This window comes from Homo sapiens, chromosome 2, assembly GCF_000001405.40.
Source record: "Homo sapiens chromosome 2, GRCh38.p14 Primary Assembly".
Lineage (NCBI taxonomy): Eukaryota > Metazoa > Chordata > Mammalia > Primates > Hominidae > Homo > Homo sapiens.
The window spans coordinates 24,663,801-24,688,614 of record NC_000002.12 but is presented as its reverse complement, the minus strand read 5'-3'; the positions used below and the strand labels follow the sequence as shown (position 1 = coordinate 24,688,614).

The 24,814-nt window shown below is 37.5% G+C and overlaps 1 protein-coding gene and 1 pseudogene across 15 annotated transcripts in view; both read right to left on the bottom strand.

Moving 5' to 3' along the window:
- Positions 1 to 24,814, bottom strand: part of NCOA1 (nuclear receptor coactivator 1) — a 279,449-nt gene that overhangs the window by 82,088 nt on the left and 172,547 nt on the right. For all 15 annotated transcript variants that reach the window (XM_047446155.1, NM_001362950.1, NM_003743.5 and 12 more), the window contains 3 exons: positions 22,700 to 22,866; positions 15,152 to 15,249; positions 5,487 to 5,664 (listed from right to left, as the gene is read on the bottom strand). In XM_047446155.1, coding sequence (XP_047302111.1) covers positions 5,487 to 5,664; positions 15,152 to 15,249; positions 22,700 to 22,866 — 443 coding nt within the window. The remainder of the gene's footprint in view (positions 1 to 5,486; positions 5,665 to 15,151; positions 15,250 to 22,699; positions 22,867 to 24,814) is intronic.
- RNU6-936P (RNA, U6 small nuclear 936, pseudogene) lies at positions 12,200 to 12,306 on the bottom strand (annotated as a pseudogene).

The window sequence follows — 24,814 nt, the reverse complement described above, 5'->3', positions numbered from 1 at the left end:
TTACAAGGAAAAAACAACCCCATTAAAAAGTGGGCAAAGGACATCAACAGACACTTTTCAAAAGAAGACACACATATGGCCAACAAGCATGTGAAAAAAAGCTCAATATCACTGATTATTAGAGAAATGCACATCAAAACCACAATGAGATACTATCTCACACCAGTCAGAATAGCTATCATTAAAACATCAAAAAATAACAGATGCTGGCAAGGCTGTGGGCAAACGGGAATGCTTATACACTGTTGGTGGGAGTGTAAATTAGTTCAACCATTGTGGAAAGCAGTGTGGTAATTCCTCAAAGAGCTAAACAGAACTACTATTTAACCCAAATATCTCATTACTGGATATATACCCAAAGGAATATAAATCATTCCACCATAAAGACAGATGCAAGTGTATGTTCATTGCCACAGTATTCACAATAGCAAAGACATGGAGTCAACCTCAATGACCATCAAGGCAGACTGGATAAAGAAAATGTAGTACATACACACCATGGAATACTATAACAGCCATAAAAAGAATGAGACCATGTCCTCTGCAGGAACATGGATGGAAATGGAGGCCATCATCCTTAGCAAACTAACGCAGGAACAGAAAACCAAACACTGCATGTTCTCACTTATGAGTGTGAGCTAAATGATGAGAACTCATAGACACAAAGAGGGGAAGAACAGACACTGGGGCCTAATTGAGGGTGGAGGCTGGCAGGAGTAAGAGGATCAGAAAAAATAACTATTGGGTGCTAGCCTTAGTACCTTGGTTGATATGGTTTGGCTCTGTGTTGCCACCCAAATCTCATCTCAAACTGTAATCCCCACATGTCGAGGGAGGGACCTGTAATCCACATGTGTTGAGGGAGAGAGGTGAATGGATCATGGGGGCAGCTCCCCCCATGCTGTTCTCGTGATGGTGAGTTCTCAAGAGATCTGATGGTTTTATAAGCGTCTGGAAGTTCCTCCTTTGCTCTCTCTCTCTCCTGCCTCCTTGTGAAGAAGGCAATTGCTTCCTCTTCTCTCATGATTGTAAGTTTTCTGAGGCCTCCCCAGCCATGTGGAACTGTGAGTCAATTAAACCTCTTTCCTTTATAAATTACCCCAGTCTCAGGGAAGTTCTTTATCGCAGTGTGAAAATGGACTAATACACTGGGTGATGAAATAATCTGTACAACAAACCCCCATGACATGAGTTTACCTATATAACAAACCTTGCACATGTACCACTGAATCTAAAATAAAAGTTAAAAAAAAAAAGGCTTTACATTTTTGTTTATAGCTTGGCTTAGATAATGTTTATCCTGATCTATTCGGTTATCAGGGACAGTTTCAGCTTTCTGAAGGTGTCTACAAAGAAAGCTACTTGCGGAATGTTACTAGAAGAAGAGCTAAATATCTAATCACACTCAGTTCAGGTAAAAGGAAAGAAGGTAGAGAAAAGGAAAAGAGGTGGAGGAATGGTTAGGAATTAAGGTAGGCCAATTCCTACCTTAATTAAGGTAGGTAGGAATTACGGTTAGGAATTAAGGAGGAATGGTTAGGAAATAAGGAGCCAAGAGAAGAGCATACAGTGATGAAGAGGAGAAAGGCGCTTCCTTGAAGTTTAATTTCATGACCTGTTATGGTGGTCAGTATATCTAAGTTGTACAAAACACTTTCTGAGATGTGAAAAAAAAAAGTTGAAAAATAATCACCAAAACTAAAGAAACTAAAGTCATTCTGGTAATAATTTACATGTCAACTATCATTATCTTCTTAAAACAACAACAATAATTAACAGCAAGTTCAATTCCAAACTTATAGGCCCCTCAAATATAAGCTGCTAAATATTTTAGGTGATCTTTCTAGATACCCTGATTTCACAAGATTAATTCGATTTTTTTAAGTTAACTGAACTACTAATAGGTTACCATGACAAAACTTTTTTGAACCTAAATCTTCTTTTAAACAGTAGGCACTGAGCTACATATTTATGCAAAAAGACAACAGCATCACTCACATAAGGTCCTGAATACTCTGTGGAATGGAAATAAGAGGATAGATCTATACTAGAGGTACAAAGCTTCTGACAAAATTCAGTATTTTGTGTGTGGGAGGAGGTAGTTTACATTATCTAGCTAGAAAGCAGCATGCCTAATCTTCATGCAAGTCCTTTCTTAACTCACCATATGATTCCTCTTTAAAAGGATAAATGCCCCTGATAATGTTTAAAAAACCTAGTAAAACAAACCCAAAGTATTAAAAAATTACTAACAAAAGCCCCCTGTACAGGAAGAAGTAGCAGTTTAGCTACAATTCAAAAAAGAAGAACAGGGTCAGGCGTGGTGGCTGACTCCTGTAATCCCAGCACTTTGAGAGGCTGAGGCAGGCAGATCACCTGAGATCAGGAGATCGAGACCAGCCTGGCCAACATGGTGAAACCCCTGTCTCTACTAAAAATACAAAGATTAGCTGGGCGTGGTGGTGGGCACATGTAATCCCAGCTACTCAGGAGGCTGAGGCAGGAAAATTGCTTGAACCCAGGAGGCGGAGGTTGCAGTGAGCTGAGATCATGCCATCGCACTCCAGCCTGGGTGACAAGAGTGAAACTCTGTCTCAAAATATAAAGAAATAAGAAAAACGGAACTATCCTACTGAATGTGATCTATAAAAAAATTTGCCTCAATTTCTACAGAATAATTTCTATGTGCTTCTAAGAGCACACTATGAAAGGACAAGATTGTCCTTCCTTCACATTGATTTCTAAGATAAAAGCATAATCAAAACCAGCTAGTAGTTGTTAATAATAATTGTAGATCTATCATTCAGAAATTAAAAGCTCCAAAACATTTAGATAAAGCCAGTCACAGGAATAATAACAGCTAAAACAAAAAGAATTTAATACCAGCCAGGAAATATGCTAAGCAACACTTACCCTTTAACCTTCCTACCAACGATGAGGCCTAGAGGGGGTCAAGTGTCTTGTTCAAGGTCACGCTGCTAATTAAGTAGCAGAGTCAGACACAGCCATTTCTATTTTATACCAGAAAGGCTATGCTCTTAAGCACTATCGTGTCTCCATCATTTGAGATATAAATGGTATGAATTTATAACGACTTGCTTTTTAAAATTTTTTTTCAAACTTCAAGTTCCAATTTATTAGAATTTCACAAATAAGTCTATGTTCACTAACATCTCATTCTTTGTAATCTTAGCCTTTCACAATATAATCTTTTTATAACCATCTGTGCAAGTATAAGTATATCCATGTATACTTGTTCTTTTGGACAAAATTTCTCACCATACCAGCTTCCCAGCATTCAGATTTTGTTTCTTATAAATAAAATGTTATGCTTAAAAAGTACAGATTTTAGACACTGAAATCTTCTAAATCTGTAAATTCAAAAGCAATTTTAAAAGTTTGACTTTAACTTTTTTCTTCAAAATTTCTCCTTGGAAAGAACAAATCAAAAAATAAGAAGGCAGTGCTTTGAATCATGTATATGTGATATATGTATATAAGGTGAATATATATATATAAATAATGATCCTAAATTTTTCTTCAAATTTCTTTCTTGATAGGTTCTGAATCTTGATTTGATTTTTTTCCCCAGTGGTTGATAATGAATTACACATAAAATGATTCTACTTGGTCTCTTTCCTTAATTTTCTAATACTTTGATTATTCTAATAATAAAGGTTTAAATATAGGTACTATAATTTATTTTCTCCTAAATGCTTTTTGGAAATACCTTGAAAGAAGCTATTGGCTTTTCTAAGTTAGTGTAGTTGGCCTTTATTCTTTTGGTGGGACCATCTCATTGGTTTCTAATGGATGATCAACCAACACTGTAAGATTAGGTGATCTATTCTATTATTACTGAGCTTGCCCTATCTTTGCTTCTCTACACTATTGTATAAGAAAGTAGTAGTATTTTTTCAATGTTTCTGTTCTTCCATTATTGGGGGAATGAGAGAAAGATATCTCTGTAGCAAAAACTTCACATTCCTCCCTATTGTGAAAGGCTGCTCAGAGAGGCAACAATGAATTGTCAGGCCAGCTGAGGATCACTGTCTTGTAAGCAGCCGGGAGCAGCACCACTAGCAAGCACATAAGCTAGTAGATGACACTCCCTCCAAATTTATCTACTGGCAGTGATTTGGGGGAACCCAAATAGTCATAGATCTACAGCATCCTGAGAACCAGGCAGAACAGGTAATGTGGCCCTTCCACAAACAATAAGCCCGTTCTTCAGGAGTCAGAAAACAGCTCATCCTTGTTTTCTGTGACTGTAGGCCTCTTTCCAACCAGGAAGGCTGCTAAACCCAACAAATATCTTGTTACCCAACATGAGACTAAAATTAAATTAGTTTTTTTGATACAAAATAAAATGCAATAGCTCAGTTCAATCCATACACCAGTAGTCCTCAAAATTTGTGAACAGTAGAGCAAAAGAATCTACAGTCCATGGCCAAGGAAAGAAATCTTAATTAAGTATTACCTATAGTGACATCAGGGGAATCTTACATTGTTTGACTTCCCTGACCACATGCCTCAGTTCCCATACTAAACGGTATGGTAGAGTCTTAACTCTCCAACTCAGATACTTTATCACACAGTATCTGTCTGAAAAACTGATGTGTGGTAAATTTATCTGCATTTTAAATCGCTTTTATTTCAGAGCTCACTGAACAAATAAACTATGGGGAAAAAAAGTAACAAAAAATCTAAAATGGAATGGAATCTGAAATGTAATATGAAAACTTTCTTATTTATCTACAAAATATACACTGACTATTGAAAAACACCCCCACTCAGATGTAAAGGTAGCAATGCAATCACCAGGAGTAACTAGAACTTGAGCACTGAAAAACTTTAGAGGAGCCTGAAAATTCAAGAAGTAAACAAAGGCTTGCTGTTAGTCCATCCATGCCTTTACAAGAATTAGAAAAAGTCCCCTAACTCCTAAGGTCCCAGCCCTGCCCCAAGGCACAGGGTTCAGTGAATAGAACAGACACTAGAAATTAGACTCCATCCATCCTCTCAGCTAGGCTCCTCAGCAGCGAATAGCCCATCCAACCATACTTGGAATTCCTCAGTTAAAGCACTTAAGTCTAAAAACATTAATTTTAGTAGATATATGACATATATTCTTTCCTTCTTCCCTCCTTCTCACTCCCTCTCTTTCTCATTTCTATTCTTTTTTCTGTGAGCAGGGTAATGGAAAGGATACACATTTGTCTCTTTCTTGAACATAATCAAAATTGAAAACAATTCACACAGTATAAAGGAAGAAGCTGAAAGGAATACTCTCCATCAGCTATTTGATGAAACTCCCCTTCATATTTATATCTGAGACTGAAACCACACTGAAAAAATATTTTAAACACATATTATAACATATATAATACTGTGTATTATAAATATAATAATCACATATTATACATATTATATAAGGAGAAGATACAGAGAGCTAGTATTCTTTTTAAAAACACATTTCTGTTTACCTAGTGATTTTGGTAGCAGATTCTTCACAAATTCTGCATGATCCCCCACGTGCAGTATGCTGTAGACGCTCGTATTCATTAATTCCTCCTGATTGTAACCTAAGTAGCTGGTTACATTCTCTGACACAAATACAATTCTCCCTTCACAGTTCACAACAAAGAAAAATCCATCCAAAGCCTGCAAAACCAAAAGAAAAAAATGGTTTGGAGGTTGAAAGATAAAAGAAAAATTAAACTATACATTTTTCTATTAAAAAAGAGATCAGAAATATATGTCAAGACCTGGTCTCTGTCCTCAAGGAAATTGTGATACGCAGGAGAGAGAGACATAAACATAATAAAATATCAGTGATAAAATGCAGATCAGAGACATACACAAAATAGTCCATAAGCACACAGAAGGATGCCTAATTTGGGATCAGGGTGGGGGTCAAAGAAAGGTACAGACCCCTACCTAACATATAAAAGGCATAGTTGGGGAGGAAGAGGATTGAAGGAAGAACATTCCAGGAAGTGGAGAGAGCATAGCACAAAAAGAAAACGAACAGGCAGTTTGCAGCTGCTGGAGTATATGGTACAAGGCGAGTCAGCAGACGTGGACAGGAGCCAAATCACAGGGGCTTCCTATGCACTGAGATGGAGCCAGGGGTCTCCAAAAGAAGACATATGCGTCCTACGGGGCATATAATATCCACAAGGGAGCACGGGAAAAGTTAGAACCTCTATGTATATTGTAATCTAAAACATAATAAAGACATGAAGCTTAAGCATATTAACACTATGGTGCCTGACTCGGTGCAGACAGTCACATATCACACAAACCCTGGTATCCCGAGGAAGAGCCAGAATGCAGAGGTTGACTGTGGCACCTTACTTATTTGTAATCTTTTCATTTATTGCAACATGTTGCAGCTTACTTGCTGCAGAATATATATAAGCAATAAAATCAAGATCCTGAAAAAATAGAACATTTACAGAATTTTGTAACAAAATGTAAAATGACCATAAAAATCCTTTGGATCATACAGGGTCTGCTGGTTATCTACGGCGAAATTAAAAGACCTATCTAACAATGCTGACGGGTTACTCATTTTTCCTTTTAAAAAAGGCCACGGGGCCGGGCGCAGTGTCTCACGCCTGTAATCCCAGCATTTTGGGAGGCTGAGGCGGGTGGATCACGAGGTCAAGAGATGGAGACCATCCTGGCCAACATGGTGAAACCCCGTCTCTACTAAAAATACAAAAAATTAGCCAAGTGTGGTAGCGGACGCCTGTAGTCCCAGTTACTTGGGAGGCTGAGGCAGGAGAACGGTGTGAACCCGGGAGGCGGAGCTTGCAGTGAGCCGAGATCGCGCCACTGCACTCCAGCCTGGGCGACAGAGCAAGACTCCAAGACTCCGTCTCAAAAAAAAAAAAAAGGCCAGGGTACCAAGTTTGCTGTCTAGCAGATACTCTCCAAAAAGTAAACAAATTTTTTTTCCTTCAGGATTAAGATGAAATTTTAACAATGAATAAAAAGTAAACTGCTTTTTAAAAAGACACTAATGCTATAGAGATAGCATGTGAAAATGGATGTTTGGAAGTGTTACCACTGTTACAATTTTGTTCCTGAAAATGACGTGATACTGAAAATGTCGTGACACTGAAAATGACGTGATACTGAAAATGACCTGAATAGCTTGTATAATTTATCTTATCTCATCAGTTTAAAATCTTAGAGCATTTTCTGTTGAAAAATCTTCCAATTAGATTCTCAGTGGGCTTTGGCCCTTTTTTTCTTTTCCTTTTTTTTGAGAGAGTGCAGTGGCACAATCTTGGCCCACTGCAACCTCTGCTTCCTGGATTCAAGTGATACTCCTGCTTCAGCCTCCCACGTAGCTGGGATTACAGGCATGTGCCACCATGCCCCGCTGATTTCTGTATTTTTAGTAGAGATGGGGTTTTACCATGTTGGCCAGGTTGGTCTTAAACTCCTGACCTCAGGTGATCCACCTACCTTGGCCTCCCAAAGTGCTGGGATTACAGGCATGGGCCTCCATGCCCAGCCCTATTTTTTTTTTTTTTTATGTGAAAATGCAACATCTTCTGATGTTTGGAAGAATCATTTTTTTTAAAATCAAGGAAACTGGAAGGTCAATAAAAACCTCTGCACAGTTTGTGGGTAGGATTTAAAAATGACTATCGTAATTTAGTAAACACATCCAATGATATACTTTTCCATTTGCCTCTACCTTATTTTTGAGAGGTGCATTTTTCAGCTAAGATGATTGTTTTTTAATTGAGAAAAACTAATATATATTTATGGTATATGTTTTCAAATATGTATACATTGTAGAATGGCCAAATCAAGCTAATGAACATAAGCACTACCTCATATACTTATCATTTTTTTTGTGGTGAAAACACTTAAAAGCTCTCTCTTTGCAATTTTCAGGTATAAAATAATTGTTATTAATTACAGTCACCATAATGTTCAATAGATCTCTTGAACTTATTCTTCCCATCTAATTGAAAGGTTTTCATCTTTTGACCAACATCCCTCCAATCCCCCCAACCCTTCACGCAGCCCCTGGTAACCACCATTCTACTCTCTCCTATGAGTTTGACTTTTTTAGATCCCACATATAAGTGAGATCATGTGGTATCTGTCTTTCTGCGTCTGGCTTTTAATTAACATAATGTCTTCTAGGTTCATACATATTGTGGCAGATGACAGGATTTCCTTTTTAAAGGCTGAATAGTATTCCGCTCTGTGTATACACAGCATTTTCTTAATCCATTCATCCATTTTTGGACACTTAGGTTGATGCAAATTAAAACCACGATGAGATATCACTTCATATCTGTTAAGCGTAGGTGAGGATGTGAAGAAAAGAGAACATCTATTATGGGAAGTAGTAGGGAGGTTCCTCAAAAAATTAAAAATAGAACTACCATATGATCCAGTAATCCCAGTACTGGGTATATATCCAAAGGAAATGAAATCAGTATGTCAAAGAGATGTCTGCACTCCCATGTTCACTGCAGCATTATTCACAATAGCCAAGATATGAGGATCAAGCTAAGTGTCTGCCAACAGATGAATGGACAAGATTATTTAAACCAAATATTAAAATAAATGAAATTTAGTAATACATCTCCATTATCACTCCATCACAAAGAATATAACCAAGATTTAAAACAAGATTGAAGCACAACCCATTGTTCTCATTTAAAATATTGCTAATATTTTCTTTAGCAAGAACAAAAAGGAATAAAGCTATTTTTATTCTACCCGATCGCCGTGACTTACTTAGTCCATAATGCAAAGGAGATAGGGACGTGATTAATAATCTTTAAAATCTCAACACTAGATAAACTCTTTTTTAAAATATTTTGGGTTTAGATGAGCACAGGAAAGTACACTCATATCTAAATTGGGTTTATAAAACCCCTTAGATTAGCTATAAATCTCATAATAGGTGATCAATGTCCATTTACTTACCTTGAAGTTTATATAAAAATAGAAATAATTTAAAAACAGATTTATTTTTCAAAAATAGACCTGAAACTTCTTTAAAAATGTTCTTTGCATCAGTGTAAATACAATTTAACTTGCTTTGTATTATAAATATATACTTATAAAGATTAAAATGTAAAAATGAGGTTGATAGTGGAAGACCTGCCAGAATTCCACCCTCAAGAGACTAGTAACATTTCAGGGAATAATTTTTGAGACTATTCCTATGAATATAGAAGCATCTCTATTTTCTAAAAGTATATCTGGTTAATATAATCTGTTATTACTTGTTCTTGTTCTACAAGTTTCCCTCATATGTTGTTTATCTAATTAACTTCAAAGTGTGCTCCTGGAAAGGAATCTTCCTATTCCTCCAAGTCCTGACAGCTGGTTTTATGTTGTACTGCATACAGAGAAGACAACAAATGCCTATGCATTCAGTAATCAATCTGAGAACTTTTCCAAACTCTGCCCAGGATGTCATCCTTTGAAGAAGACCACCGTGTGTCACACGGAAGGGTTCACATTAGCCAAGGCTTCTCACAGGGCCCTGGCTTTAAATGAGACTACCAAAGTGACTGTGATGGGACAAAGTTCCGGGAATAAAAGACATCACCCAAAACTATAAAAACCCTAGAAGAATATCTAGGCAATACCATTCAGTACATAGGCACGGGCAGAGATTTCATGATGAAAATGCCAAAAGCAACTGCAACAAAAGCAAAAATTAACAAATAGGATCTAATTAAACTCAAGAGCTTCTGCACAGCAAAAGAAACTATCATCAGAGTGAACAACCTAAAGAATGGGATAAAATTTTTGCAATCTATCCATCTGACAAAGGTCTAATATCCAGTCTACAAGGAACTTAAACAAATTTACAAGAAAAAACCAAACAACCCCATTAAAAAGCAGGCAAATGGCATGAACAGACACTTCTCAAAAGAAAACATTCATGCAGCCAACAAACATATCAAAAGCTCAACATCACTGATCATTAGAGAGATGCAAATCAAAACCACAATGAGATACCATTTCATGCCAGTCAGAGTGGTGATTATTAAAAAGTCAAAAAACAATAGATGCTGGCAAGGTTGCAGAGAAAAAGGAATGCTTTTACACTGTTGGTGGGAGTATAAATTAGTTTAACCATTGTGGAAGGCAGTGTGGTGATTCCTCAAAGATTTAGAGGCAGAAATACCATATGACCCAGCAATCCCATTACTGAGTATATATCCAAAGAGACATAAATCATTCTGTTATAAAGATACATGCACATGTATGTTCATCACAGCACTATTCACAATAGCAAAGGCCTGGAATCAACCTAAATGCCCATCAATGATAGACTGGATAAAGAAAATGTGGTACATATACACCATGGAATACTATGTAGCCATAAAAAGGGATGAGATCATGGTCCTTTGCAGGGACATGGATGGAGTTGGAAGCTGTTATTCTCAGCAAATTAATGCAGGAACATCAAACCAAATGCTGCATGTTCTCACTTATAAGTGGGAGCTGAACAATGAGAACACATGGACACATGGCAGAGGGAACAACACACACTGAGGCCTGTTGGGGGCAGGGGTGGCAGGAGGGGGAGTATGAGGAAGAATAGCTAATGGATGCTGGGCTTAATACCTAGGTGATGGGTTGATCTATGCAGCAAACTACCATGGCACACATTTAGCTATGTAACAAACCTGCACATCCTACACATGTACCCCGGAACTTAAAAGTTGAAGAAAAAAAAAAGTGTGGCACATCCTCATTCTCTCACTCTTTCTCTTTCCTGCCGCCTGGTGAAGAACATACTTGCTTCTCCTTTGCCTTCTGCTGTAATTGTAAATTTCCTGAGGCTTCCCTAGCCATGTGGAACTGTAAGTCAATTAAACCTCTTTCCAGCCAGGCATGGTAACTTATGCCTGTAATCCCAGCACTTTGGGAGGCCAACCGGGGTGGATCATGTGAGGCCAGGAGTTCGAGACCAGACTGGCCAACATGGCGAAACCCCATTTCTACTAAAAATACAAAAATTAGCCGGGCATGGTGGTACATGCCTGTAGTCCCAGGTACTTGGGAGGCTGAGGCACAAGAATTGCTTAAACCCAAGAGGTGGAGGTTACAGTAATCCGAGATTGTGTCACTGCATTCCAGCCTGGGTGACAGACCAAGACTCTCTCAAAAAACAAAACCAACCAACCAAACAAAAACATCCCTCTTTCCTTTATAAATTACCCAGTCTCAGGTTTGTTTTTTTTGTTTGTTTGTTTTTTTGTTTTTGAGACAGGGTCTTGCTCTGTCACCCAGGCTGGAGTGCAGTGGCGTGATCTTGGCTCACTGGAACCTCTGCCTCCCGGGTTCAAGAGATTCTCCTGTGTCAGCCTCCTGAGTAGCTGGGATTACAGGCATGTGCCACCATGCCAGGCTGATTTTTGTATTTTTAGTTGAGACGGGGTTTCACCATGTTGGCCAGGCTGGTCTCAAACTCCTGACCTCAAGTGATCCGCCTGCCGTGGCCTCCCAAAGTGCTGGGATTACAGGTGTGAGCCACCATGCCTGGCCCCAAATCAGGTATTCTTTATAGCAGTGTGAAAACTGACTAATATACTCTCCCTGTTTGTCAGGGATACCAGCTGTAGGTTTAGTCTCTTTACATAATCACATATTTCTCAGAGGTTTTGTTCATTCTTTTTTATTCTTTTTTCTTTATTTCTGAGTTGACCAGTTAACTGGTCTTCGAGCTCTGAGATTCCTTCCTCAGCTTGGTCGATTCTGTCATTAATATTTCCAATTATGAAATTTTTCTTGTAGTGAGTTTTTCAGTTTTATCAGATCAGTTTGGTTCTTTCTTAAAATACCTGTTTTATCTTTAATCTCTAATATCATTTTACTGGATTCCTAAGATTCCTTGGATTGGGTTTCAACTTTCTCCTGAATCTCAATGATCTTTGTTGCCATCCAGATTCTGAATTCTTAGTCTGTCATTTGAGTCATTTCAGCCTGGTTACAAACCATGGCTGGGGAGTTAGTGCAGTTGTTTGGAGGTTAAGAAAACACTCTGGCTTTTTGCGTTTCCAGAGTTCTTACTGGTTCTTTCGCATCTGATGCTCCTTTAATGTTCAAAGGTGCTGTCCTTTCAATGGAGCTTTTTGCTTTTATATTCTTTGATGCCCTTGGTTTTGCCTGTGGTATAAGTTGGGTTCAGCTGAAAAATATGAAATACTTCACAAATTTATGTGTCATCTTTGTGCAGAGGCCATGATAATCTTCTCTGTATTGTTCCTATTTTAGTATATGTGCTGCCAAAGTGAGCACCACATCCAAGTTTTGATTTCTTTCCAGAATGCTTATGAAAAGGGAGCACAAGCAACTCTCCTCCCCAAGTCATGTCTATGATTATGGCAACAAATCTGGGACGGATAGTACAAAAGGAACTATCCCAGGTCACATGAGTAAACTGGATGTTATCATAGCACTGGTCATTTTTCATTGCTGTTCCAAAACTTGAGGTGACCCCACTGCCACAGAAGTCTGCTGAGAAACCCCAAAATACCTCCAACCTCCAAAGTGAGGCCACTCTAGGAAAATTGGAAATCTTTAAAAGGCAGCAGGATGTATTGAAAGAGAAGCTTGGAAGACAGATCTGGGCTAAGGATAGACCTTTGTGATTCACAGGTACATATAGTAATCATTTGGGTCTCTTGTTTATTTTTTACTTATTTATTAATTTATTTATTTTGAGACAGAGTCTCACTCTGTTGCGCAGGCTGGAGTGCAATGGTGCAATCTCAGCTCACTGCAACCTCTGCCTCACAGGTTCACGTGATTCTCCTGCCTCAGCCTCCTGAGTAGCTGGGATTACAGGCGCTCACCACCATGCCTGGCTAATTTTTATATTTTTAGTAGAGATGGGATTTTGCCATCTTGGCCAGGCTGCTCTTGAACTCCTGACCTCAAGTGATCCACCCGCCTTGGCTTCCCAAAGTGCTGGGATTATAGGCGTGATGCACCGCGCCCGGACTGTTTATTTGTTTTTAACTACGATCATCTTTTCCCCTAGTAAAGAATACTCGGATTTCCTCTGGGAAATTTTCTTCCCCACTACACAAAGCCTTATGGGATTCTTAATCAGGCCATTGGGAGACTTCCTCCTCAAATGTGAATCTTGAGAATAATTACAAAAAGCTAAACATAGCAGGAGTACACTCATTCTAGCAGCAGGGCACTGCCCAGATGGTTCTTTCTAAGAGACCATTAACAAAGCTTTTGGTTTCTAGCCTCCTTAAGATATTTTGATTTCATCCCATTTCCAAGCATGGTTCTATGATATCCAAATAGCATTCCAATAAATTCATATTTGCTTAGTCAGAGTTGATTTCTATTGCTTCAAATCAGAGAAATGCAACTGATTTCATATATGTAATTCACATATATGTGTATATGTTATATAGACAAAGACACAGATAAACCTTCCCAGTAAATGTGCACAGAATTAAAAAAGGGAAAGAGCCAAGGCTAGACTCCCAGGGGATACTAACATTTAAGAGGCAATTAAGGAAAGAAATCTGAGAAAAAGGCTGAGGAGTAACCAGAGGGGTAGAGAAAGAACACTGTGAAAGGGGCCATGGAATGTGTAAGGTAGTGGGAATGAGTGGTCAGTAAGTGTCAAAAGCCACAAAGAAATGTAGGGAATGGTGCAAAGCAAGTTAAGGAAGCTAGAATGCATGTGCAAGATATAGTGAGACCTCTCTGAAGCAGTTTTCTTATGGACCAATGGAAACAGGAGGGTTAGAGTCAGATAATGCAGAACTCTGACCAGCAGGCAGAGGAATTTTAGACAGCAAAGGGAGGAAATGAGCTTAAAAAAAAATGCCCATACTGGACTTAATGAGTACTAACTATGTATAAAGTACTCTGCTAAGAAATTGTGTCACTTAATTTTTAAAATAATTCCATGATGTAGATATCCAGTGTCTAACACACTGTAGGTATTCAACAAATCTTTGTTGAATAAATACATTATAATATTACCCTCTCATTAGATGTGCGAAAATTTCTTCTAGTACCTTCATTCTTTACCCGTGCTACCTTTATTTTATATTTTTAAAAAGAGAAATAGGCCGGGCGCAGTGGCTCACGCCTGTAATCCCAGCACTTTGGGAGGCCGAGGTGGGCGGATCACGACGTCAGGAGATCGAGACCATCCTGGCTAACACGGTGAAACACCGTCTCTACTAAAAATACAAAAAAATTAGCCAGGCGTGGTAGCAGGCGCCTGTAGTCCCAGCTACTCAGGAGGCTGAGGCAGGAGAATGTCATGAACCGGGGAGGCGGAGCTTGCAGTGAACCGAGACCACACCACTGCACTCCAGCATGGGCCACAAAGCGAGACTCCGTCTCAAAAAAAAAAAAAGGGGTACCCAAGGGCCATAAATAAGTATATATAATTAGACCTAGAGATAGAAATATATACACACACACACACACACACACACACACATACATACATATGTCTTTAAACATTCATGTAGGAGAGAAAGCATTTAAAGTAATGAGGATGCTTGGAAACAAGACATCTATATTGAGAATGCAGGGAGTAAAGATTAGATAGAAAATGCAGGGGTGAAAATTACACAGTAATTACAAAGCCATTCAAATTTAAAAGTTCTTCACATTACAAAGTTTGACAGTTAAAATAGTAATTCTCTTAGAATGTTTATATAAACAATTTAAACATTTTTATTCAGAAAACTGCAGAAAATCACGTACTGCAATAAACTGTGGGATCCTTCATTCAAAAGTAAAATTCTATGGTATACATATAGATAACACTAGCTAGCTAAGTAAATCTAATATTAATATTTTATTTTCCCAACTAGGCCTAACCACCACAGAAATAAAAGGCAAAGCCATATAATAAGCTTCAAGTTTTCCATCTCACTGCTTAGAATGCCTTCATGAAAATTTCTCATGTTCATTATTCACTTTTGATTCTGAAACAGTAACAACTGTCAAATAGTTCTCATAATAAAATAATTATAAAAAGTTCTTTACTTTGTTTTATAATTTATTAACTGGATATAAGGCATTTAAAAAAGAAAAAACCAAACTGGCTACAACAAAGATTTTAATCACTTTCTGAGTCAATGAAGACACCTACCTCCAAAAGAAGAGGTCCCAAGGATTCCTTTTCTATCACTCCTTGACTACTTGATGAGATGTCTGATTTCTGTACATCGTCATCAGTTGTTGATTTCTCTATAATAAAGAAACTTAAAAAAATCACATATCTGAAAAGAGCTTATTTCCATAAAGTCAAGTTTACGAAGACATAGATCCACCAAATTTCAAATTCAAATAACATTTAGTCAGTATCTAGGCACTTTCACACTAATCTTAATTATACTCATTTTATGGATCATAAAATGGAACATCACAAAGGTTAAGTAATGTGCCTGAAAACATACAACTAATACATGGTAGCATGAACATTTGAATACTACATCCAGTGTTTCAACAATGAGAAAAATGCTATAAATATATTGCCTTTTTAAAAAGTCCATACCAGAAGTTTTGAGAAATGGGTAAGTTGTAAAAGAAAAATTATTTCAAGTTTTCTCTTTCTTTTTCTGATTTGATCAAGTGCCATTGAAGAGAGAATGAAAATATGATTTTTCCTTTTGAGAGCCTGCATGAACTCACTAACATTTCACATTCGTGCCATGATGCTCTGATTGATAAAACTGAAACTGCTAAGTAATTGGGAGTTCTTTTGTGAGGTGATGTTGCATATCCCATCATCTTAAAGCAGAATCATATTTAAATAATAAAAGTTTCTGATCTGTCAGACTAGTTAACCAAAAGCCAAATATGGTATTATTGAGCACAGAAATTCATATTTTCACTTTAAAACAGGAAGTATTTCCGGGTTGGGTGCAGTGCCCCAAGCCTGTAATCTCAGTGCTTTGGGAGGCAGAGGTGGGAGGACTGCTTGAGGCCAGGAGTTTGAGAACAGCCTGGGCAACATAGCGAGTCCTTTATTTTTACAAAAAATTTTAAAAATTAGCTAGGTGTGGTGGTGCATGCTTGTAATCCTAGCTACTCAGGAGGGTGAGGTAGGAGGATCGCTTAAGCCCAAGAATTTGAGGCAGCGGTGGGCTATAATTGTGCCACTGCACTCCAGCCTGGGTGTCAGGATGAGACCATGTCTCAAAAACAAGAAGAAGGATTTCAAGTATTCCAAAAAATACAGAAAATTATACAGCACATATTAATATAGCCACCATTCGGTATTCACAGATGTTAACGTCATTTGCCTCAGATCTTTCCTTTTTAAATAAATACATGTTGCAAATACAGAGAAAGCCCTGCCCTCCCTCCTCTGTCCCTTTTTTCAGAAGTAACCATTATTCTGAGGTTGCCATAATCATTTTAAGCATTTTTTTATACTTTTACTACATATGTATGATTTCATAAACAATATATTGTTATATATATAAACATATATATAAACAATGTTATTGTTTCATGTTTTAAGGTTTACATAAATGTATAGTTATATATACCATTAGTCCTCCACATCCATGGATTCTACTGACCACAGATCAAAAATATTTGAAAATGAATTGTGTCTGTGCTGAATACATATAGATTTTTTCATCATTATTCCCTAAACAATACAGTACAACAACTATTTACATAGCCTTTACATTGTAGTAAGTATTTTAATAGGTAATGTAGAGATTATTTAAAAGTACATGGGCCAGGCAAGGTGGCTCACGTCTGTAATCCCAGCACTTTGGGAAGATGATCAGATGGGCAGATCATCTGAGGTCAGGAGTTGGAGACCAGCCTGGCCAACATGGTGAAATCCTATCTCTAATAAAAATACAAAAATTAGCCGGGCGTGGTGGCACATGTCTGTAATCTCAGCTACTCAGGAGGCTGAGGTACAATAATTGCTTGGACCTGGGAGGCAGAGGTTGCAGTGAGCCGAGATCCCGCAACTGCACTCCAGCCTGGGTGACAGAGTGAGACCCTCTCTTAAAAAAGTACATGACAGGATCAATTATAAGCAAATACTATGACATTTTATCTTATTTTTAAATTTTGCTTGTTTTATTTTATTTTAAGAGACAGGGATCTTGCTATGTTGCCCAGGCTAGCCCTAAACTCCTAAATTCAAGCAATCTTCTAGCCTCAGCCTTCCAGGTAGCTGGGATTACAGACATGCACCACTGCCCCTGGCTACTACACCATTTTATATCAGGGACTTGAGCATACTCAGATTTTAGTATCAGTGGGAGGTCATGGAACCAATCCCCCACACATACCAAGGGACAATTGTACAAACTTTTTCAACTTACTTTTTCCACTCAATATTATGTTTGAGATTTAACCACATTGATACATGTAGGTTTGATTCATTCATTTTAACTGCTGTTAAGAGTATTATATTATATAAATAATCTGCAGTGGATTTCTATTCCCCTACTGGTAGGTCTTTTGATAACTACAGTGCTATAATAAACTATTTTTGGTATTTCCTCTTTTGTACACATGTCACAGTTTCTTCAGGATAAATACTAGAGTGAAATTTCAGGATCATAAGGTCTGCGTAACTTATATCACTAGGTATTGACAAACTGCTCTCCAAAGAGGTTGTAACATTGGTTTTGCTCTTCTGCATCCTCACTGAAAAACAATATCATAGTTTTTAATTTTTGCAAACCTATGGTGTAAAATGTTATCTCACATACTATTTATAATAATGGCTTTCTTGAGCTATAATTTACACAACACGCAATTAACTCATTTAAGGCACACAATTCAATGATTTTTAGTATATTCACAGAATTGTGCAACCACTGTCACAACCAATTTTAGAATATTCTCATCACCTCCCAAAAAACTCCATTCCCATTACCAGTCACTCCCCATTTTTCCAATACCCCTAAGTCTGAGGCATCTACCAATTTATTTTTTGTCTCAATGAATTTGCCTTTTTTGGACATTTCCTATAAATGGAATCATACAATATGTGGTCATATGTGACTCGGCTTCTTCTTTGGCTTAGCATGTTTTCAGGGTTCAACCATGTTGAATTATTTATCAGTACTTTATTCCTTTTTATTGCCTAATAATAGTCCTTCATAGTGGTATATGTCCTTTTATATATCTATTCATCAGCTGATGGACGTATGGGTAGTTTCTACTTTTCAGCTATTTGTGATAATGTTTTTGTGAACATTCATGTACAAATTTTTTGTATGGACAGGTTTTCATTTCTCTTGGGGATACACCTAGAACTGGAATTATTGGGTCATATGATAGCTAGCTCTATGTTCAACCCCAAACTCTCCTCCAGTTGAGAAACTGTTGGACTGTTTTCCAACGTGGCTCCATCATTTTCCATTCCCATCAGAAGTATGTGTGGCTTTCAATTTCTCACCCACACTTGTTATTACCTTTTTCTGTTTTTTTTCCTAAGACACTCCTTGCTCTGTTGCTGAGGATGGAGTGCAGTGGCACAATCACAGCTCATTGCAACCTCAAACTCCTAGGCTCAAGCAATCCTCCCACCTTGGTCTCCCGAATAGTTGGGACTACAGGGATGCACCACTGTGCCTGGGTAATTTTTTATTTTTTTGTAGACAGAGGGTCTTGCTATGTTGTCCAGGCTGGTCTCAAACTCCTGGGCTCAAGCGATCTTCTCACCTTGGCCTCCCAAAGTGCTGGGATTACAGGCGTGAGCCACAGCACCCAGCCTTATCTTTTTGATTATAGCCATCTTAGTGAGTGTGAAATGGTATGTGACTTTGATTCTAGTTTGCATTTCCCTAATGGCTAATGATATTGGGCATCTTTTTCATGTGCTTGTTGGCCATTTGTACATTTTCTTTGGAGAAATGTCTATTCAGGGTCTTTATTTTTAAATTATGTTATCTTTTTATTATTATGGTGCAGGAGTTTCTCATTTTAAGATACATTTCCTTCATTATTTCATGTGTTTTATTACATGAGGGTAAGAAAGGATTTTGTTTGTAAGCAAGTTCTAAAAAACAAACTATCAAGTTCAAGTAGATTAAATAATTTTGTGTGACGTGCAAAATATCTAACATTTTAGGGAAAACCTAAGGTAGGAATGGCTATGTGACTAGTTTCTGGCCTAACGGAACGTGAACAGAAGTGACATGCAATTTCTGGGTCTTATCTGTAATGGAAAAGAAGCATGCCTTCTTGTTTTTTTCTTTCTCCTTCTTGTTAGCTGGGACATGGACAAGGGGGCCATGTCTAACAACATGGATAATGGCAATACCCTAGGAATGGCAGAGCCAAAAAGATGGAAGGAGTCAATCCCTCACACCTTCCTAGACCATCTTTTTAAAACCATTGTATTTTGGGTGTGTTGTTATACTAACCTAGCCTATATCCTAATATGCTTTATATTTCTTAGTAACATGCTAATTTGCTATAACCTGATTTTGTCCATGTTAGACATAACCTACTGACATGCTACCATGAAAGGTAAATAATTTATTTACACCAACCTGCTATACAAATTACCCCTCCTCTCTTACTTTCAGTATAGTTTTAACAATTTTTTGCGTAACCAATATTTAATATATATGTCACTAGGGTCATATAAATATACTTTATAAGGGAGCCGATGTGTGTGTTATAACTTACATTTCTTTTTTTATATTTAGTGTTTCAGATCTTACGTATAGTTTAATTCAACCCTAAACTCCCCTCCAGAGCTGAAAAATTCATCTCGATTCAGTCAGTTAGCAGATACTCTTATGCGTTCCTTTTTTTTTTCCCTATGGAAATGTTCCCTAGAGTCCTCTATCCACCTGCTCCAACTAGGACTGGCTATTTTCTAGGTTGCTGCACAACTGTAATCCTGGGTCTCCTTTTACCTTTCTTTGTGTTAAGATTCCATGGTTTCCCTGGATTAAGATCCTATGCCCTTCTTTCTAGCTTTACTATCTTGGATTGGATAGAGATTTCTGAAACAGGTATAACTGGAGGTAATACCTTTGAGACTCTGAATGTCTGAGCATGTCTATTTGGCACTCATAACTTCAACTGGATGAACACAGAATTCTGGGTCTAGAATTCTAGTTTTCAATGTTGTTATTTAGAAATCTGAACCTATTCTGAAAGCAATCTAGTATGTGTGAGACCTGTTTTTTCTTCTCTCTTGTTTATCTCCCTGGTGTTCTGAAATGTCACTAAATTGTGCATTGGTATAAGTTACTTTATCTTTCTTTTACAACAACTGTGCTGGGCACTACATGAGGGCTTTCAATCCGGAAACTAATATACTTCTAGTTCTGAGAACATTATTTTTGCATTATTTCTCTTATCATTTATTCCCTTCCATTTGTTCTATTCTCTTTTTCTGGGATTAATCATATGTTAGACTTCCTGAACTAATCCTATAAGTTTCTTATTTTTTCTCTCATTTTCCATTGCTTATTATCTAAGAGATTTCTTCAAATCACATCCCTTCATCCAGTCATTCAACAAATATGCATTGAAAGCCTACTATGTAGCCAAGTGCTGTTTTAGGTACTGAGGATATAGTCGTGAACAAACAAAATCGCTTGCCCTCGTGGAACTCTAGTGGGGGCAGGCAAATAATATATAAAGTATGTCATATGTCAGATGTAAAAAGTACTGTGGGGAAAATAAGGAAGGTATAAAAAGATGCATAGATTTTTTTTTCTGTTTTTAAAAATATTTCAAATAGGTTAGTTAGGAACAACTTTACTCAGAAGACGTATTTGAGCAAAGACATGAAAGAGGTGAATAAAGCATGTGGATATCTAGAGACAGAGCATTCCAGACAGAAGGAACAGCAACTGTAAATAGCAGGGGCAGAGTGTGCCTGCCACTGGTCAGGGCAGAGAGTGTGAGGAAACAAAGGTAAAGAAGTAAAATTTTTTCCAGCTATCCTGTTTCTAAGTTCCAAAAGCTATTTCTTCTTTTGAATATTTCATTTTATAGGACTTATTCTCATCTTTTGATGAAATACCTTCCCTCATGTCTCCCAGGGACTGGTATCTTTTTAAGTTTTCTTCAGTTCCCTGCACTGTTTCTGCTTCCTCTGAGTTCCCTTTTTTCTGTTTGTTTGCTTGGTTTGCTCTCTTTTATATTACAGGCTTTCCCCCAATACCTGGCTTTTTGTTCACATTAAATAGTTGACTGGCAGTTAGGTGAGGAGTGGGGGCAAGATAAGGAATGAATTTTTTCATTTGAGGATCACCCCCACATGACTTCATCTTCCGACTGCTCAGTTTACCCAGAGGTATACTGCCACCCCCAATTTAGGGAGTAGGAGCCAGGCTGTTAGTGTTTCGAGACCAAGCAGGGAAGGGGCAGAGAGCCTCTTGCTAGTGCTCCTCTCTGCAGTTTTACAGTACGGTTTCTCCTGTTTGCTAAATCAGTTGTCACTAGACTATCTGTTTTCCAGCTTCTAAAATCTTAAAATTATAAAACTTTAATGCTAATAATCTGAAGTTCTTTGGGGTTAGTCCTTCTGTTTGTTATTTGTGCTGTTACTCTAGATTATTTCCTCATATGTTAAATAACTTTGCAGTGTAAAATCACCCTCAGAAGCACTTTTTCTGTGGCACTCCCATGGGGCCAGCTTGTGGGATTGTTTCTTCAAAGTGCTTTGCCTTTATTTCTGGTAGGCAACCAAGGAGTTTGATGGTATGGGGTTCCAGTAAATATAGGTAGTAAAAATATGAAGCTTAAAAATACACCAGCCTGGCCAACATGGTGCAACCCCATCTCTACTAAAAATACAAAAATTAGCTGGGCATAGTGGCGCGCACTTGTAATCCCAGCTACTTGGGAGGCTGAGGCAGGAGAATTGCTTGAACCCAGGAGGTAGAGGTTGCAGCGAGCAGAGATCGCACCACTGCACTCCAGCCTGTGACAGAATGAGGATCCATCTCAAAAAAAAAAAAAATCCGGGTTTTTTCAGAGAAGAGCCCAGGTAGAGACAAACTTCCTCATATAAGTGGAGATTTTTCTCTTCATGGAGTTACTGTCCTAAAGAACTCTATGCTAGGGCCTCAGGTCCAACTCCACAACTTGTGTCTTCTGACTCAATCCCCTATGATACTGAGTCCCATAATCTCCTAAAGCAACCAGTTTTTGAGTTAACTTAATAAGACACTTTGTTATAACAAGAAGATTCTCAGGTTCACTTTCTAAAATAAACAGCATCTTAACAAAGACATTTCTTTATAAAATTATAATGTTCAATATAATTTTTTAATAATAAAAAAGTAGGCCAGGTGCGGTGGCTCACGCCTGTAATCCCAGCACTTTGGGAGGCTGAGGTGGGCGGATCACGAGGTCAGGAGATTGAGACCATCCTGGCTAACATGGTGAAACCCCGTCTCTACTAAAAAAATACAAAAAGATCAGCCAGGTATAGTGGCAGGCGCCTGTAGTCCCAGCTACTTGGGAGGCTGAGGCAGGAGAATGGTGTGAACCCAGGAGGTGGAGCTTGCAGTGAGCCGAGATCGCACCACTGCACTCCAGCCTGGGCGACAGAGCGGGACTTCATCTCAAAAAATAATAATAATAATAAAATAATAATAATAATAATAATAAAGTAAAATCACATATTATAAATGTCTTAATAACAAAGCACACAGCCATGGGTTTTCTTTTTCTTTTTTACCTTGTTCCATTCTCTTCATTAGCTGTATCTGATCGACTGTTTTCTTCAAAATCTTGCATTTGTCTGGTTTTACACTCAAGCTGTCAATGTCACTAATGTTGGCAGACAGTAACTCAGCTAGTTCTTCTAAATATTTATTTTCTTGCTCCCTGCGCCTCTTTTCCGTGCTGTTACACAAAGAAAATCCAGTTAGTGTACATTTGTATCACCATATTTCCTTCTCTGATCAAGTATCTATGCTTACACATTTAGTGAGATCTTTATTTTTATCGAAAATATAAAACCAGATTTAGAAAGTGATATAAATTCACATCTAAAAAGTGGACATTACAAAATACCAAAATTTAGAAAACAATTCTGGCTAAAATATATAAAGTAAATTGACTGCTATAACAGATGTATTTCCCCAATCATATATACATCTTGAATATTTTCAAATAACAATTACTAGATAGTAAAAGCAAACAAGTAATAAACACAGCAGTTACATTTGGAACTACTTTATATTATGAATAACTTCTTGAAATAGAAAAATCTGAATTTTCAAATAACTGTTACAAATTAAGCAGAGAATACGATAATAGAATTCACAAGTTATAATTAGAAATCCAATAACTCTGATAAACTCTTAATTCTTATGATTAAACCATTAGTTGATCCTCATCAAAAAAGTATCCATTCAAAGGCAAAATAAGGATAATAATAATTAGAGACGAAGGTACAGTGAACAATGTATTCTGTATACAGCTGTGTCCTAAAAAGACAGAAAAAAAAATGATTTGTAAGTTCCTATAAATGCAATAAACAAAATCAAACAATTTATCTTAAAGCAAAATAATGAGAACAAGGTGCATACAGGTAGCACCTTTTTAAAAAAATATACCAAATGTACTGAATGACTATGATTCATTTTTGCCTTCCAGTCTTTAGCCCTGGTTTATTTAGCCAAGTCATCAGACAACTTGTTTTGTAATACATATAAAGACAGTTAAGTATGACTTTGAAATTTTGTTTTCATCAAACTAATATAATAGGAAGAAGTGGTCACAAGTAGCTCTTTGTTTTATAAGCAGCAATCAAAATCATTTGGCTACATATAAAAGTAACAGAAAAAAGAGGACAGAAGAGGGGAAGATCAGTTGCTATAGAGCTCATAATTGGCAACAATTAAGATACCATTTACTTTTCTTTTCTTTTTCTTTTTTTTTTGAGATGGAATCTTGCTGTGAGGCCAGGCTGCAGTGCAGTGGCGCAATCTCGGCTCACTGCAACCTCTGCCTCCCGGGTTCAAGTGATTCTTCTGCCTCAGCCTCCCAAGTAGCTGGGACTACAGGCGCACGCCACCATGCCTGGCTAATTTTTGTATTTTAGTAGAGACGGGGTTTCACCATGTTGGCCAGGATGGTCTCGATCTCTCGACCTCATGATCCGCCCGTCTCAGCCTCCCAAAGTGTTGGGATTATAGGCGTGAGCTACCAAGCCCAGCCCCATTTACTTTTCTTAATAATATTAAAGACTATAAAAACAATAGCACAAAACAATATAGTAAGTTGAAAAGAATCAACTAATCAAATGTATTTACCTACACAAAACAAAATATTACAAATACCAAAACAAAACCAAATTTTAAAACTGTGACGATCACGTTTGTCTTTTAAGTCTTTCATTATTGATGAGTTTTCCCAATTGTAGTTATTAAAATTGTATTTTATAACTCCCACAACAAGAAAATGCAGCAAGATATTTTGACAAATTACATACCAAGGCATGAATAAAATGAGTAACATACATTTTGATACATACAAGGTTTTAGGGAACCTCAGCTCTGCAACCTCACAGTGTTTGAAGACATCTACTTTTACCTTAGAGAAACTAATTGATATAAGATATATGTAGTAGATTCAGTCTAAAGTTCTGATCTATTTAAATCCATGGATCTAAACTGCAACACGAGTAAACTGGACTCTCTTCGTGGAACTCTCAAATATGTTTTTGATGGTAAGTTTTGTGTAAAACCAAAGAACTTGAAGACAGTATAGAGGAAAAGAAAAAAGTGATAGAACAGGCAGGACACGCAGACAGAGAGGGGATAGAGAAAGCAAGAAGCTAAAAGTA